This window comes from Homo sapiens, chromosome 5, assembly GCF_000001405.40.
Source record: "Homo sapiens chromosome 5, GRCh38.p14 Primary Assembly".
Taxonomy (NCBI): domain Eukaryota; kingdom Metazoa; phylum Chordata; class Mammalia; order Primates; family Hominidae; genus Homo; species Homo sapiens.
The window spans coordinates 169405416-169420744 of record NC_000005.10 but is presented as its reverse complement, the minus strand read 5'-3'; the positions used below and the strand labels follow the sequence as shown (position 1 = coordinate 169420744).

At 42.7% G+C, this 15329-nt stretch overlaps 1 annotated feature.

Annotated features, from left to right (window-relative positions):
- Positions 3732-3861: an enhancer, noted in NCBI's record as "active region_23592". NCBI's record gives its function as "activates an Ori minimal core promoter by ATAC-STARR-seq in GM12878 lymphoblastoid cells {active_cell/tissue: GM12878}" and the evidence as "EXISTENCE:reporter gene assay evidence [ECO:0000049][PMID:35858748]".

Below are 15329 nucleotides of genomic sequence, written 5' to 3'. Positions count from 1 at the left end.
CTGAAATTTGATTATCGTTTTTGATGGGGTTCCTCAAGAGCATTAAGTCTAAATGCCCCCAGACATCCATTGTAGGTAATGAATTATTTTCTCTCCTATATATCTAAATAGTGCTAATTATGTACCAGCCACGAGAGAATTGAGAGAATTGTCACTCTATCAGAGAAATCACACCCACCCTTGTTGCTATAGAAATTGTTTATTGTAACCAGACGTAAGGCAATCATCACGTGGTATTTCCTTAAAGGAATTGATTCAAGGATGCATCTGAAAAAGAGTGTGATTTTCTGAGCTATCATAAGCTAAATTTTTTCTTCCCTCTAGATACTGTCATGTCTGAATGGTAGTCCTGAGATTGCGGCAGCCCTCACATGATGAGCCAGAGGAGGAAGCCTCATGTGAAAGAAAGCAGGACCCACAGCCATAGTTGCACAGATCTATTCAAGCCACGCTGATCACTGCGCTAACCTCTGGATTTGTTTGGTTACAGCAGTGAGTTTTCAGTTACTTGCAGCCTAACACATATGTTGCTTGAGGTTTAGCTTTTCTGGATCGCCCTTTTTCTTAGCCCTCCACTCCCAGCCCAAGGTGGCAATAGAGAAGGTCAGCCTACCTCCCATCACTCCCTTGCCTTCCGCTCCTCACTCTGAGTGGGCTCTTTCCCTCACTCAATTCTTTTTTGGCCTCCTATCCTGGTGACCTGTAATGAAGAGGAGTCCTCATAATTAATCATTTGGACCAACCATGACTTTAGCTCTGAGGTTTGTGTAGAGCCCAGCCCTTCCATGGGGAACCTAGTGTGGATGCCCTAGCCTTTCCCAGAAAATCACCCTTTGAGCACTTCTCAGTTTGCTTGACAAGTTCAAAGTCATGAGCATTTTTGAGGTAGAGTGGAGAGGACTCCACCAGACTATTTCCCCCTAGGATGCTGAGAGAGTGAGAAAGAGGGTTGGTGCATACTCAACTGAAAGGAGATGTAAAGGACAACCGTGTGCTCTTCCAGATCCATTGACCCATGCTCTGCTCTTTTTCACCCTGGCCTGTGCCCTGTGAGACTGAGCTCTGCAGACTACACCACCCAAGCTCTCTTGCCTTCTGGCTTCTAGATTGGTAGGGCCAATAGGAGGCAGCAGCAGGAGATTAGAAGGAGAGACTGTCAGGTAGGGATATTATTCCCTCAACACTGGGAGGATTGGCATCCCTTTAGGACCACAGCTCCTGCCGAGTGCCCTTCATCCACAGCTGTGTCTCTCCCCAGAATCTGGGATCTTTGTCTCTCTTTACTCCTTTAGGCTAGGGGTAGTAATGGCTCCCTGGTATTTCTAGTCCCAGGGTGTTTCATCAGCTCTTAGGCATTCCCCACTGACCTCTGTGTATGCCTCTGTCAATAGAACAATTAAACTCCTTCACTTGAAACCTTTAAATGTGCATCTGCTTCCTGCCAGAACCCTGTAATGAATAACAGTTCTATGATTTTATTCCTGTTTTACAGATAAAAAAATGGGGACTCAGGAGTCCAAATGACCTGCCTTTAAAAAGTCACTGGTAGCAAAGGGTGAAGCTGCTTTGAGACCATGTTTTCCTGATCCAGGTTTTGTAATTGATCAACTCAATCCCTTGATGCCCACCAATCCCTACTGGACATCAAGAGTGAGAGTCACAAGCAGATGTCTCTCAAATGGGAACTGGCTGTCACATATGGTTAGTTTGATTTGTTCCAGGTTTTAAAAATCAGAGAATTTCACAGAATTCTAGATTTTTTACTTCTACTGAAAAACCAGAAAATCTGGAAGCAATGACATTATATTCTTTTGTGGAGTCAATGGCCTGGAACCAAACAGCAGCTTCCTCCTTTAGATGAGGTATGAGATTTCTGGTCCCCACAGTCCACACCTTTCCCTATTGCCTTGCAACTGGATCACTCTGCCCATGGCTGTTCCCTATCCAGACCCTGGATGCATTGGGTTTATGAATCCTGGCCTTGAATCTCAATGATGTGTTCCGCATTAGCCAGACAAGAATGCCTCGCTAGAATGTAAACTCCATGAGGGCAGGAACTGTCATCTGTTTTCTTGACTGTGTCTAAATGTGCCTTAGAGCAGTGTCTGGAGTGTACTCGACCTGCAATACAGATTTGTGAGTGAATGAATGAATGAATGAATGAATGATATCTTTGTGTGGTCTATGTGTTTTGGGGCTGATAGTCTGCTGAAAATGCGGGATCCCCTAGGGAGCCATGAGAAGTAGCAGAAGCCAAGAAAATTCTTCTGACTGAGACATATTTGCAGGGCCGTCTTGTTTTAAATCTCTATCAGACTATTTTGGTCTCTTCTTTCGCTTTTTTGTAGTTTAATACCATGGAGATTCCATCTCTTCCCCTTGCTGGGCTTGGGTTTGGGGACAGACACCCTGAATGTTGCAGACTCCACTTCTCTTACTGTCTACATCCTGCCCACTGGAACATTCTACTCCATCACCCTGAGGCCCCACAAGTATAAGCCCATCAGGCTTCTGGATCACAGCCAGTGTTGAGGCTATCTTTAAGGGTTCTTTTTTTCTCCTTCCTTAATTAGATTCTAGCATTCAATATACCTGCTTTACATTCAGAGCTCCAGATGTTTTGGGTGGATTCTTGGCAAAGAAAGGACATTTGGGCCTAGATGAAAGGTGTCAGAAATAACTGGGCTTGAAAATCATTGGGCTGCTGGAGATGAGATGGTTGGATTCAGAGATAGTGAAAAAGGAGACCTTCAGCGACTTTCTCTTCCTGTTTGGATCCACATAGAACCTCAAAGAGGCAAATTTCATCCTCCTGGCTCCACTGTGACTCCTTAGGCGGGAGTCAGGCACGCTGGGGCAGCAGATGGTCTATCTCCCCTAAACAGTGTGACAGAAGTGGGGCATGCTCATTTCTTGGCATCTGCTGGTGGAAGTCAGTTTTGCTGCAATGCGATGGCAACTTTCTATCAACCATGCAGAGACTGGCTTGGGAAGAAGTGAGCCCCCAGTCACTGGTGATTCTCAGGGCTTGTTTCCCCAGAGCTAGCTCCATGTTGAAGCATGGTGTTGGAGTTTGCCAGGCAAATGGCAACTCTTCACGAGCACATGCTCTTGCTGGGCACAGAGGTAGCTGCATATCGGTTGTCTCTTTTCATCCTGACTTTATTTTATATATACAGAAGCTGAGGCTCAGAGAATTTCAATGACCTTCCCAAAGTCACATAACCAGTAAATCCTAGAGCCGGAATTTGAACCCAGAATCCCAAATCCCCTGTTGTTGATGGCAGTACTTTGCTTTAAAAAAGATGGAAAGACCATCTGTGAAGAGGATGATGTGGATATACAGGATAAAGGATGAAGCACCCTTCATTTAGGGCCTGACATGGCTGGGGACCAGTAAGAAGTTCACGGTAGCTGAGGCAAGTTGAATTCAGTTGGAAACCAGATTGACCAGATTGCAAATGGCACCAGGGTAACTGTCCTGGGGAGAGAGGCCAGTTTTTTTTAAAGACAAACTTAATCATATTTTAAGAAATATGGTGAACAAACACATAAACGGTCCTGCTTGGGTATTGGAGTAAAGCTGAAAGATGTTAAAATCTAGACAATGAATAAGGAGCCCGTGCTCACTTAACATTTTCACCACTTAATCCTTAAATCCTCCGTTGCCCGCCCACACTCCGCAGCCAGGGCCAAAAGGGCTTTGGCTCCTCTTACACAGAAACTGTAGCTGCTTCTGTGGTGAGCCACAGCTCCCCAGGGCCCGGCCTCTGATGAGGGTCAGTGACGTCATCTTCGGCAGGAGTTTCAGACGGAGAATTCCCCCAAGACCTCGAAATCAATATGTCTCTGCCCCGCTTTGCCTTTCCAGCCAGAAAATATGCCCATTACTTGACTTTTGTCTGCTGCTTTAAGATCTCAGCTTGTTACCAAGCTTGACATGCCTTCTTATTCTCATCTCCGCCCACCTTCAACCCATTCATTGAAGCCCAGCTCGAGTATGGTAAACTTCAGAGCACTTCAGCAATAGAAATTCTCAAAGTTAGCAAAGTCATTTTCCGTTTGTCCTCTGTGGCTTCTTCAGTTACTAGAGAAGAAGCATCGGGGGCTCTAGAGTACCCTTCCCCCATGTCTTTTTGAGCAGATGCTCTTTTATCTGTTTTAGATTTTGAGTTTCTGCATGTAATTATTTTTGAACTGGGACTGAAACAGTTCAGAACACACCTCCTTATGGCATACTTGCACCAAGGTGGTGGAGGTGCTTGGGAAACCATCTGATTGCATGGCCTCTCTCAGTCTTTTCCCTCCTGTTTTTCTTTTTCTGGGAAAGACTGCATGAGACCCATATGGCAGGGCAAGTGGGAGCCATAATGTGGGTTCATGAAAGGAGCACGGATAATGGTCACTTCACAGCCTCACTTTCATTACTGAGAAGGTGGATGGAGGAGAATTACCATGCATCTCATTAAATCAATATTTTATTTCCTCCCTGCTCCCAGCTGCCCTCCCAGCTTTGATCTCTTTGCCTCTGGGGCAGTGCTGGACAGGTGACTTTCATGATGCAAATCAGGGTCGGCGGGCTGTCTGCCCAGGCTTTGATCTCCTACCTAAGAGAAGGCTGGCAAGGAACGCCATGGGCCCCAGCCCCAGGTTCTCTGTAACCTTAGGCGAGGTGGAGCCTGTGGAAGGACTGTTCTTTTGTCTTTGTGAACAGCAGGAGCCGTTAAACTACCTGAGTTCCAGTAATGTACACCATGTGAAGTGTTGGAGGAGCTAGACAGGAGAGGGCATCTTGTTTAACAGATATCTATTTATCTTATTCAAATATAGGTTAACTAGCTAAGTTTAGAACAAGGCCAAGGCATTGAGAAATAATAGATTCTCCACCTGTCATACTGGGGGCTTCTTTTCTTGACTCTGATAAAAGCTATGCATACTCTCCCTTTCCCCAATATTTGTTTTTCCTTCTTTTGCCATCGCTATTGATGCCTAGCCATGGTTCTGGGGTAGAGAGGAAGAAGGACATGACATAGCGGAAGTGAGAGTTCTTCCCTAAGCACAGTACAGGCTGACCAGGAAGGGGAGGTAAAAGCAATTCTCAGACGTTGCATTTCTGGAGCTTACAGGGAGAAAAAGGAAGATAGAGGGAGGAGAGGCAGGGAGAGACATAAATGTCTTCATCTCCTGATGACCAGGAATCTGATGAGTAACGCTTGGTGCTGGGGATCTGATGCTCTTCTGCTTCATATTTCAGACTCTCAGAGTAGATAATTTTACAGGCTGCCTTTATTAGTGTGAATAGAGTTAGGTTCATGAACATAAATTCTTACATTGTTTTTATATTTCTTATTACATTACAGAATTGTAAAAACCTTGTTAGTGCAAGTAATTATTCATAGACTAGCTTCCGGAAACCTCTGTCCTAGACTCTCTACTCACTAGGTTTCTATTTCTGTCTTGTTCCAGTTGGACTTTAGTTGGTTTGTTTATGTAATAAGGAAAGGAGATCCCCTCAAATTGCTTCAAATAAAAGAATGCTGTTTTAAAGATAGATATGGCTCTGTTGAGGGCTAGAAATCTTGGGCACCAATATCTGTCTTGGAGAGTGTCTTCTCTCCATCTATCCAATATCGTCTCTTTTTAAAAAAAAAAAAAAACCGTTTTTTTGGCCGGGCGCAGTGAATCACACCTGTAATCCCAGCACTTTGGAAGGCCGAGGCAGGTGGATCACAAGGTCAGGAGTTCAAGACCAGTCTGGCAAAGATGGTGAAACCCCGTCTCTACCAAAAATACAAAAATTAGCTGGGTGTGGTGGCGGGCGCCTGTAATCCCAGCTACTTGGGAGGCTGAGGCAGGAGAATCACTTGAACCCAGGAGGTGGAGGTTGCAGTGAGCCGAGATCATGCCACTGCACTCCAGCCTGGGTGACAGAGTGAGACTCTGTCTCAAAAAATTTTTTTTTAATTTTCTGAGTATATAGTAGGTATATATATTAGGTTGGTGCAAAAATAAGCGTAGTTTTTACCATGAAAAGTAATTGCAAAAACCACAGTTACTTTTGCACCAACCTAATATTTATGGTGATTCCTTCTCTATGGTCCTGTTGCTATGCCACAAACCACTCCCAGATGGAGTGGCTCAAAAGAACAGTGATCACTATTTCTCATGCCTCTGTGGGTTGACTGCACTCTCTAGTTCTTTCTCAAGGTGTTTCTTGTAGTTGCAGTCAGGTGGCAGCTGGGGCTAGATTGATCTGAAGGCTGAACCTAGCTAGACTTGCAAGGTGGCCCACTCACATGGCTGCTGGCTAGGAGTTTAGCTGAGGCTGCCAATTCCAGTAACTGTGTCCTCTCCATGTGGCTTGGATTTCTCTTGGCGTGGCAGCTGGGTTCGAAGGGAACATCCCAAGATACCCAGGTGGAAGCTGCAAGGCTTTTTACGGCCTATTTTTGAAAACCATGCTCTGTTATTTCCACCATGTTCGACCAGTTGTAGGGTCAGTCCCAATTCAAAGTGAGAAGACTATGAAAGGGCATGAATGCCAAGAGGACTGGTGGACTGGGAGGGCCATCTCTGGTACCACAGGACCACTCCTTTTCTCACCCATAGTTTATGCTCCCTCATAGCTTTAATTTACTCATGATCCACCCTGACAATTGCCCCTGGACTCTCTAGACACTTTTCCAGGATACTGTTTCAGTTCCTGTCCCTACTCTTACTGGCTTAATCATCCAGTTCTCAAATTTTAAATTCTTGATGGAGGACTCCGCTTGGTCTGAGATTCACTGGACAGCACGTGGATTGCTCTCAGACCCCGTCCCATCAGTTATGGCTAGATCTGGGTGGGGCCCAACAGCATTCAACATAGCGACCCAGATTTGCCTTCTCAATACAACCATGGGTAGGGAGGTCCCTCTAGGAGACATGTCTCATATAAATTATTTTTTCCTTTGCTCTTTCCCATAGGATTTGATAATAAAGTAGTGCAACTCTAAAGGGACCAGGAGTCCAGAGAGGTACGTTTGAGTCCCTCTGTCTTATTATGTCTGATGTCCAGTTTGCAGCTTTTTAAATTCTGCCACATATGAGTTCTATTAGAATAGACTCTATGAATCCTGGAATTTAACCTTGGCCTTTGTTGTCCATGACTCAGAGAATACACTCATGTATCTCAGTGCTTGAAAGGAGAATGGGTTATAAATTCTGGACCCCTTACTTTAGAGATGAGGAAACAGAGACTTTAGAAATGGATTGATTAAAAATTTTGTAAGTATGTAAAGGCAGAGACCTACGAAACTCACCTCTCAGTACTCCAAATACAGCACTCCTCACTTCACTGCACTGCTTCCCTGGGAGGAAGAGGCAACTTAGGAGCCAGTGAAGGTGGACACGCGGAGCTCAAAAGATAGCAGGTGGGCTCATGTTGACACCACCAACCCCCATGCTCACCACCTGAGAATTCAACAGCCAGATTTCTGCTGCCAGGTTGGCTGCTGGCATCTGCATCCAGCTGACCTGCTTCTAAGATTGAATGCAAGTTTCACTCAGCCCAACTCTCTACCCATCCCAGTGACCAGCATTGGCTCAGAATCTTCCATTCCAGCCCTTGTTTCTCAAAGGGAAAGAGGTCAGCATCTTGGCACATCTCTTTAAAGTCATGTTCACATGCTGCAGTAGGCTCTCTGGGGAGCTGGATAATATTCTGAGCTTAGTGACTTCAGCCTGTATAAACTCATGGAGTATTTACTTATATGGGATTTTTCAACCCAACTTTCCAATGTGGGCTGAAGAATTAGGCAAAATGCCGTGCATTTATCCTGGGAGTCATAAAATGGATTCTGCAGAGTGGTATTGGTTGAAAAATAGTTCTCCATATGGAACGTTGAAGAGTGCTGAAGAACCACCTCCCTGGAAGTTTTTTTTTTTAAGATAAAAACAATAATGCTTATGGCTTACAGATAAGTTGGGTGACAGGAAGAGCAAGATTTCTCAAGGTTTTGTTCAGGTGCAGCTCTTAGGAAGTAGTATTTTTCTTAAGTATAGTAAAGAAGAAGATATATTTCCCAATGTCAGATTTTTAAAAAATTACATCCTTGAAGCAGAACTGAGTCATTAAGGTCAACCAGCTTTGGGTCTACTTAGAAAAAAATTGTAAATTCAAGCAATCTTGCTTTCCCTAATCTATCATTTCTTTTGATATCTTTTCATTCCCATTATGGAAGCCCCTTTCTTTCCCTTGAAGTGGAATGCCATTCCTTTACTTCATTACTAAGATCTGCTAGAATGATGCATAATCTAACGTATATTGAGTGATGTTCATCAGCCAATATATTAATTAATTTAGGAGAGGAACTTCTCTGACATTTCTGAAATTGTTGCAGGCAGGAAGGCTCCTCTTTTACTTTATTCATGTATTGACCCTAGAAGAGTCTCTTGGCCTAGAGTAGTATCTTGGAAATAGCACTGTCTGTGGAGCCAGAAAGACCCATAATGTATTTCTGACTCAGCCACTTACTAGCTGGGTGGCCCTGAGCAGTTACCAACTTCATGAGCCTCAGTATTCTCCTTTATAAAACAATAGCTATTAGGGTGAACTCTATGAAATTGTCATTCCAATATCTCACCCTAATATCTCCCAGGGTTGTCATGAGATTTAAAGGAGGTAATGTGTGCAAATGGCAAAGTGTGGGCACATGGCTTATCACATATCAGATGCTCCCTTCGGGTTAGTTTTCCTGTTTGTTCAGTCTCCTCTAAGGCAATGACAATGGTATTATTTACTCTTTCTTTCTAAATATGAAAAACAGATCACCACCCATTTTCCATGGAAAGTCCCTTCATCATTTATTTCTGTTTCTGGTTCATGTGTTGAAATAACAGAGAGCTACTGAACTGGTAGGATTTCTTTACATTCAGAGCTTTCTTATCATAACTAATAATGGCCTCTTCCCCTCCAATCTTTTTTTTTAAATATTTTCCTCCAAAATATGCTTTGCCCCAGAAACTGGTTATTTACACTACGTATGTTCCAGAAATCCCTTGTAATGAACCATACAAATCTATTTGTCCTGCTGCTACTATAATTGCCTATATCTTATTATAACTTAATATGTAACAGATTTTTTTTGGCGAGACCAAAAGCAACTGAGCATTCACTGAAAACGCAGACGCTAAAGGTTGTTGAGGAGCCAGTGAACCCACTAATTGGATAAAGGGGGGATGGTGTGGAAATGTAATTAAACTGGCATTTGCTCTAGCTGCTGAAAATATTAATCAGAAAATGAGTTGTATAAAAAAGGTAAAAGGCAGGAGATGACATTAAAAATACCATCAGTGCTGTTCTTCCTGGCATTGATGAGAACAGGCTCTGCTTTCTTTCAGGAGGTGTTGGTCATCTGTCCATTGAGCTCTGCCGACAGCTTGCTTGGGCAGAGATCACAAAGAAAGACACTTGGAAAGCTGTGAGTTGGGAGGAGGAGTGTGAGATTCTTGATTTGGGGACCAGATGCATCTCTTGGCAGCCCTTGATACAAACATAAAGATAAAATATGTGTCTGAAAAAAAAGAAGAAAAAAGCCAATTTTCCCACTTCTTCTAAAGAAGTACTCCTCCCAACAAAAGATGAGCCGAACATCTGCATCCAGTCAAGCAATAATACTTAAACAATTGTCAAATTTGAGAGAGGTGGATGAGGTTTTGAACCAGGCATTTAAATACAGCCATAACCCAGGAGCCTCTGGACAGATACCACCCTCCCTAGGCCTGAAAACAAGAGTGGAGGAAGGCAAACACAGATGGGAACGCTTGTGTTTGGTCCAGGAGCTGCTCTGATAGGGCTGTTTAAGTGCTCTGAATGGCCTGCACAGTGGTCCCCCTAGAGACATTGCCCCCATCACCACTGGGGACACTTCCTGGTCCATGGGATGTTTCAGTTCAAGGGTGCCTTGCTTTAAGAAAATCTACTATGTGAAAATGGGAACTTGCACAGTGTGTTCTTGCTATTTTGTCAGGATTGCTTGTTTTGTTTTGTTTTGTTTTGTTTACCATTTGGGAAAACTCTGATGACCAATGCTGATCTGGGATGAAATTTATTGCAATCCTTTTATGTAAATTTCTACTTCTTGAGAGTGACCAGAGCCCTGCATACCTCTGTCCCCACATGTGACTCTGCTGAATGGGCACACTTTCCTGCAACCCCTGTTGCTGAGACCCCTGGTTACCTTCCCTGCTCTTCTTTTTTTGACCATGTAGCAAGAAGAGCGAGCAAGGAACTAGAAAGTGAGGGGCTATTTTTTCCTGGCTTCTTTAGTTTGCCCAGGATAGTCTTGGCATTAGTTTCCTAGGGCTGTTGTGACAAATTTACTATAAACTGGATGGCTTAAAAAAAAAAAAAAACAGAAATTTATCGTGTCACAGTTTTGAACAGCAGAAATCTAAAATCAGTGCTGATAGGGCCATGCCCCCTCTGAAGCTTCTAGGGAAAACTATTTTCTCGCCTCTTTGTAGTTTTTCGTGGTTGCTAGCAGTCCTTGGTGTTCCTTGGCTTGTAGACCCATCGCTCCAGTTTCTGCCTCCGTCTTCACATGGCTGTTTTTCCTCTGTGTGTGTCTCTGTGTCTCCCTCCCTTCTCTTATAATGACCCCCGTCACTGGACCAGGGCCCACACGAATCCAGTATAACCCCATTTTAACTTGATAACTCTGTAAAGATTCTATTTCCAAACAAGGTCACATTCACAGGTACTGGGGATTGGGACTTTGCCATATCTCTTTGGGAGATGGAATTCAACCCACAACAATGTTTATTGAGAGAAATGGTATTATTAGGTATACTTCTTCCACTTAGGTCCACATGCTTGTGTCAACCTGGATTTTATTTTATTTTTATTTTTTATTTTTCGAGACGGAGTCTCCCTCTGTCGCCCAGGCTGGAGTGCAGCGGCATGATCTCAGCTCACTGCAACCTCCGCCTCCCAGGTTCAAGCGATTCTCCTGCCTCAGCCTCCCAAGTAGCTGGGACTACAGGCACGTGCCACCACACCTGACTAATTTTTGTATTTTTAGTAGAGATGGGGTTTCACTGTGTTAGCCAGGATTGTCTCCATCTCCTGACCCTGTGATCCGCCCACCTCGGCCTCCCAAAGTGCTGAGATTACAGGCATGAGCCACTGCGCCTGGTCCAACCTGGATTTTAAATAAGGTCTATGATAGAAACAAAAATTGAATGTTCGAGCTTCTATTTATGTACTTCTGGTGAATGTGTGTTCCTAACATGATCAAACTTGTACCAAAAAATAAGTTACATTCAAAATAACACCACGAATTAAATGTATCTTGCCATTTTTCAACATTTAAAAGCTTTTAAAATCTCTATTTAAAAACCAGTGCACTAATGCCAACTGTCGTCTCTTAATTCATTTTGAGATTATAGCCTTTTTGCATTTTGGTGTTAAGATATCCCATCTATTATTATGAAATAAGGATAATTGCAAATGGTATTTATTTGTTTTTAACATTTATTTTATAATATCCTAACTTGGCAAAATAAAATATTGGCAGTCCTCTGTCAGTCCTAAAATATTTGAGGCCATTTTACTACTCAATAAAATCTAAAAGTGTGGGAATCATTGTAATAGGAGATATCTATTTTCATCCCTTATGCCTAAAGAGTTTCCTTTATGAAAATAATCTGCTCTTTAATAGAGACCACCACTAGTTTCACAAAGTTTGGGTTTTTATTGTTGTTTTTCATAAAATTAACTATTCATCTAGGAATGGGATGGAGTAAGAATTTGGAGAGAAACCTAAAACTGACCACAATGAATCACAAATTCAGGAACTTTGAAATGTGGTTGCCAATCCATATGGCAAGTTAATTCTGGTTTCCAAAAATTTTGCATGTTCCCAGCTTTGCAGGGGCCCATCTCCTACATCAAATTCACGATGTCATTTTCAAATTGTGATGCTGATGCCTGAATGCATGGAAATGATTCAATATTTTGTTTGCAAAACCCAAAATGCCACCAGTCTCCATCAAAGTGGCCTGAACATCTCTCTGTCTCCTGACTGTGATTTTGGAAGGCCCAGCTTGGCACCAGTCATCCTACAAGTTAGCAGGTCACAGATAGGATAGTAGAATGAATGAGTAGTTGAAAACACAGATTTCTAGATTTCCTAATGAGAAAAACTAGTTCATATCTACACATTTCAGCAGTAATGGCCTCTCATAGTGCAAGGGAAGTGAGGCGAGTCTTAGACCTGACAGTCAGACAAGATTGACTCTGGATATTGTCACTTAAGCTTATCAAAGCTCTCAGAGCTCTCAAGAGAGGTTGATTAATTATTGACAGGCGGGATATGAGGAAATGCTGACTGGATCATGATTACCTAGTGACAGGAGTCAACGCTGACAAATGGCTTAATAAAGTCCACCCACGCTTTCCAGCAAGGACCTAGGGAAAGGACATGGATTCCTATTGCAAGTAGACAACTGGAAGAACTTCCTCTCAGGACACTGAGGAGAGTTTTCAAATGAAATTGTGATGTCATTTTCCCAGAAATATTTTAGGTTTAAATGAAAGGACACGTGCCTGAAATGGGTAGACAAGTTATTTCCTCATGGGGTAGGAGAGAATCACTGAGCTGCATCCCATTGTAATGGCTGGGATTGAAGTTCCTCTTTGGAGGTAGAGGAGAACCAAGTGCTGAGAAGAGGCAACACAGCTTCAAAGACCTGCCCCAAATCCATCAAAAACAGTTCTTGCTCTGTCCCCTAGGCTGGAGTGCAGTGGCAGGATTATAGCTCACTGCAGCCTCGACTTCCCAGGCTCAAGCAATCCTCCCTTGGGCGGGGCCCCAAGTAGCCTCCTGAGTAGCAGGGACCAGAGTTGGTAAAATATGCAGATGTGGAACCTCAGGTTATGGAGGGCCTACTGTACGTGTGTGTGTGTGTGTGTGTGTGTGTATATATAGTTAACATTTGCAGTGCACAGATATTTTCATCCCCTTCCCTGAAGATGAGGAGGTGAAGATGGCTACACAACAGTCTCATGGCAGGTTAGCTGGTCTAAGGAGAAGGTGCTAGAAGGAAGAGGCCTTCTGAAGCTTGTGACTCAAGCACTCCCCACTGCTCTGCTTGTATGGTGTTAATAAATGCTATATTTCGCTCACAAAATATATACAGAATAAGAGCTATGTTTCATATAAAAATGACTCTTCTTCTACAGTCTCACTATGTGTTCCTGTGAGTACAAGGAGTGAGGGCTTGGCTCTCTTTACCAAGGCACTGTCTGTCTCCAGCTGTATTCACAGCACACATGTAGGTGCACTTATGTACAGATACGCCCTGTCTCACTGACACAGGACCCAGGGTCAGTTTTCATTTTGGTGAATGATAATTTCTAGATTAGGTCATTTTCATATGGAGTTTGCCTATTGGGGCATCCTAATCTGAGGAAAGGCCTTTGTGCAGAGAAGAAGAATTTCACCCCTCTTCTTCAAAATTCTGCCTAAGTCTAGAGGGAAGGAAGTTCTATACTCCCACTCCCACCCCTACATATATACATATTTACTTTAACAAAGCACTGCTAAGTCAAGGGGTTGAGCAAGGGGCATTTGCTGGGCCTCTAATGCTAGTGGGAGTTACCTGCATCAAGCCTCAGATTTGGTCTTTCTCCTCCTTGGGCCTCCTGATGCTACTTACAGGGGGATATTCTCACACTCACTCACAAAGAGATGAAAGATCTCTACAATAATTGGATATCATCCAATAGGGTATTAATATCTGGAATATATAGGGAACTCAAACAACTCAACAGCAAAATAATAATAACAACCTGATTTTAAAAATGGGCAAATGGTCTCAAAAGACATTTCTCAAAAGAAGACATATAAATGGCCGAGAAATATATGAAAAATGTTCAATATTGCTAATAATCAGGGAAATGCAAATCAAAACCACACTGATTTTTGGTAGGAATATAATTAGTACAGCCACTACAGAAAAAAGTGTAAAAGTTCTTCAACAAACTGAAAATAGAAATACCATATGATCCAGCAATTCCACTACTGTCTGTATATCCAAAGGAAAGGATGTCAGCATGTTGAAGAAACATCCGCACTCCCATGTTTATTGCTGCACTGCTCACAATAGACAAGATATGGAATCAACCTAAGTATCCATCAGCAGATACGTGGATAAGGAATGTGTGGTATATATACTCAGTGGAATGTTATTCAGCCATAAAAATAATGAAATTCTGTCATTTGCAGCAACTTGGGTGAGGCTGGGGACATTATGTTGAGTGAAATAAAACAGACACAGAAAGACAAATATTAGATATTCTCACTCATATGTGGGAACTAAAAAAGTTGAGCTCATAAAAGCAGAGAGTAGAATTGTGGTTACCAGAGTCTGGGAAGGGTACTGGGGGATAGGGAAAGGTTGGTTAACAAGGACAAAATTACTGTTAGAGCAATAAGTTCTAGTGTTCTATAGCACAGCAGGGTGACTATAGTTAACAATAATTTATTGTTTACTTCATAGTAATTAGAAGGGAGAATTTTGAATGTGCCCAACACAAAGAAATGATAAAATTGATTTCATCATTACACGTCATATACATGTATCAAATATCACATGTGCCCCATAAATATGTACAGTTATTGTTTGTCAGTTAAACACAAATTTTTAAAAGGTGTTTATAAATGTCCTAAATTAAAGACACAGCCTTATCCTACGGGATTTTCTGAAGCTGGCTTCCCCATTTTCTGTTCTCCATAGTTATAGGACAGGCTGGCAGGGGCAAGACTCGCTGGGGCCAAAGTAGACGTGTATGTTCTTGATGCGAGCTTTATATCCCAAACATATTGATTTTTATTCGGGAGTTTACCTAAACCATTTTTAGAGTTATTTCTATGTGCACAAGCTAATGAATCCAAGGATTCCTGCCTGCTTTGTAAAATAGCATTTTTAGCTACTGCTGATCTGACCCCTGGAGGTCTAGTTTTCTGGGACTGTCTGAACCTATCTCTGTTCACTCTATCAACGCCCAGCATGCTATTACACACCTCTCTTTAGTTCTTTCCTACAAGAAAGAATTTCTTCACAAGTACAGATACGTGTTTAAAGAGCCACTCACACATCTCCCTTCTCATCTCTTTGGTGTTCTAGGAGAAATGGAAAGGCTCTAAATATTGGATTATCTTCCTTTTTGAATCTTAACTCTACTCTTTGTTAGGGTGCCTATACCCCCAAAGGCAGTGTAACCTAGTGCCCAAATACATGCCTTAATATCTCACTATCAAGGTTCCCTCAAGTACCAAGAGTAT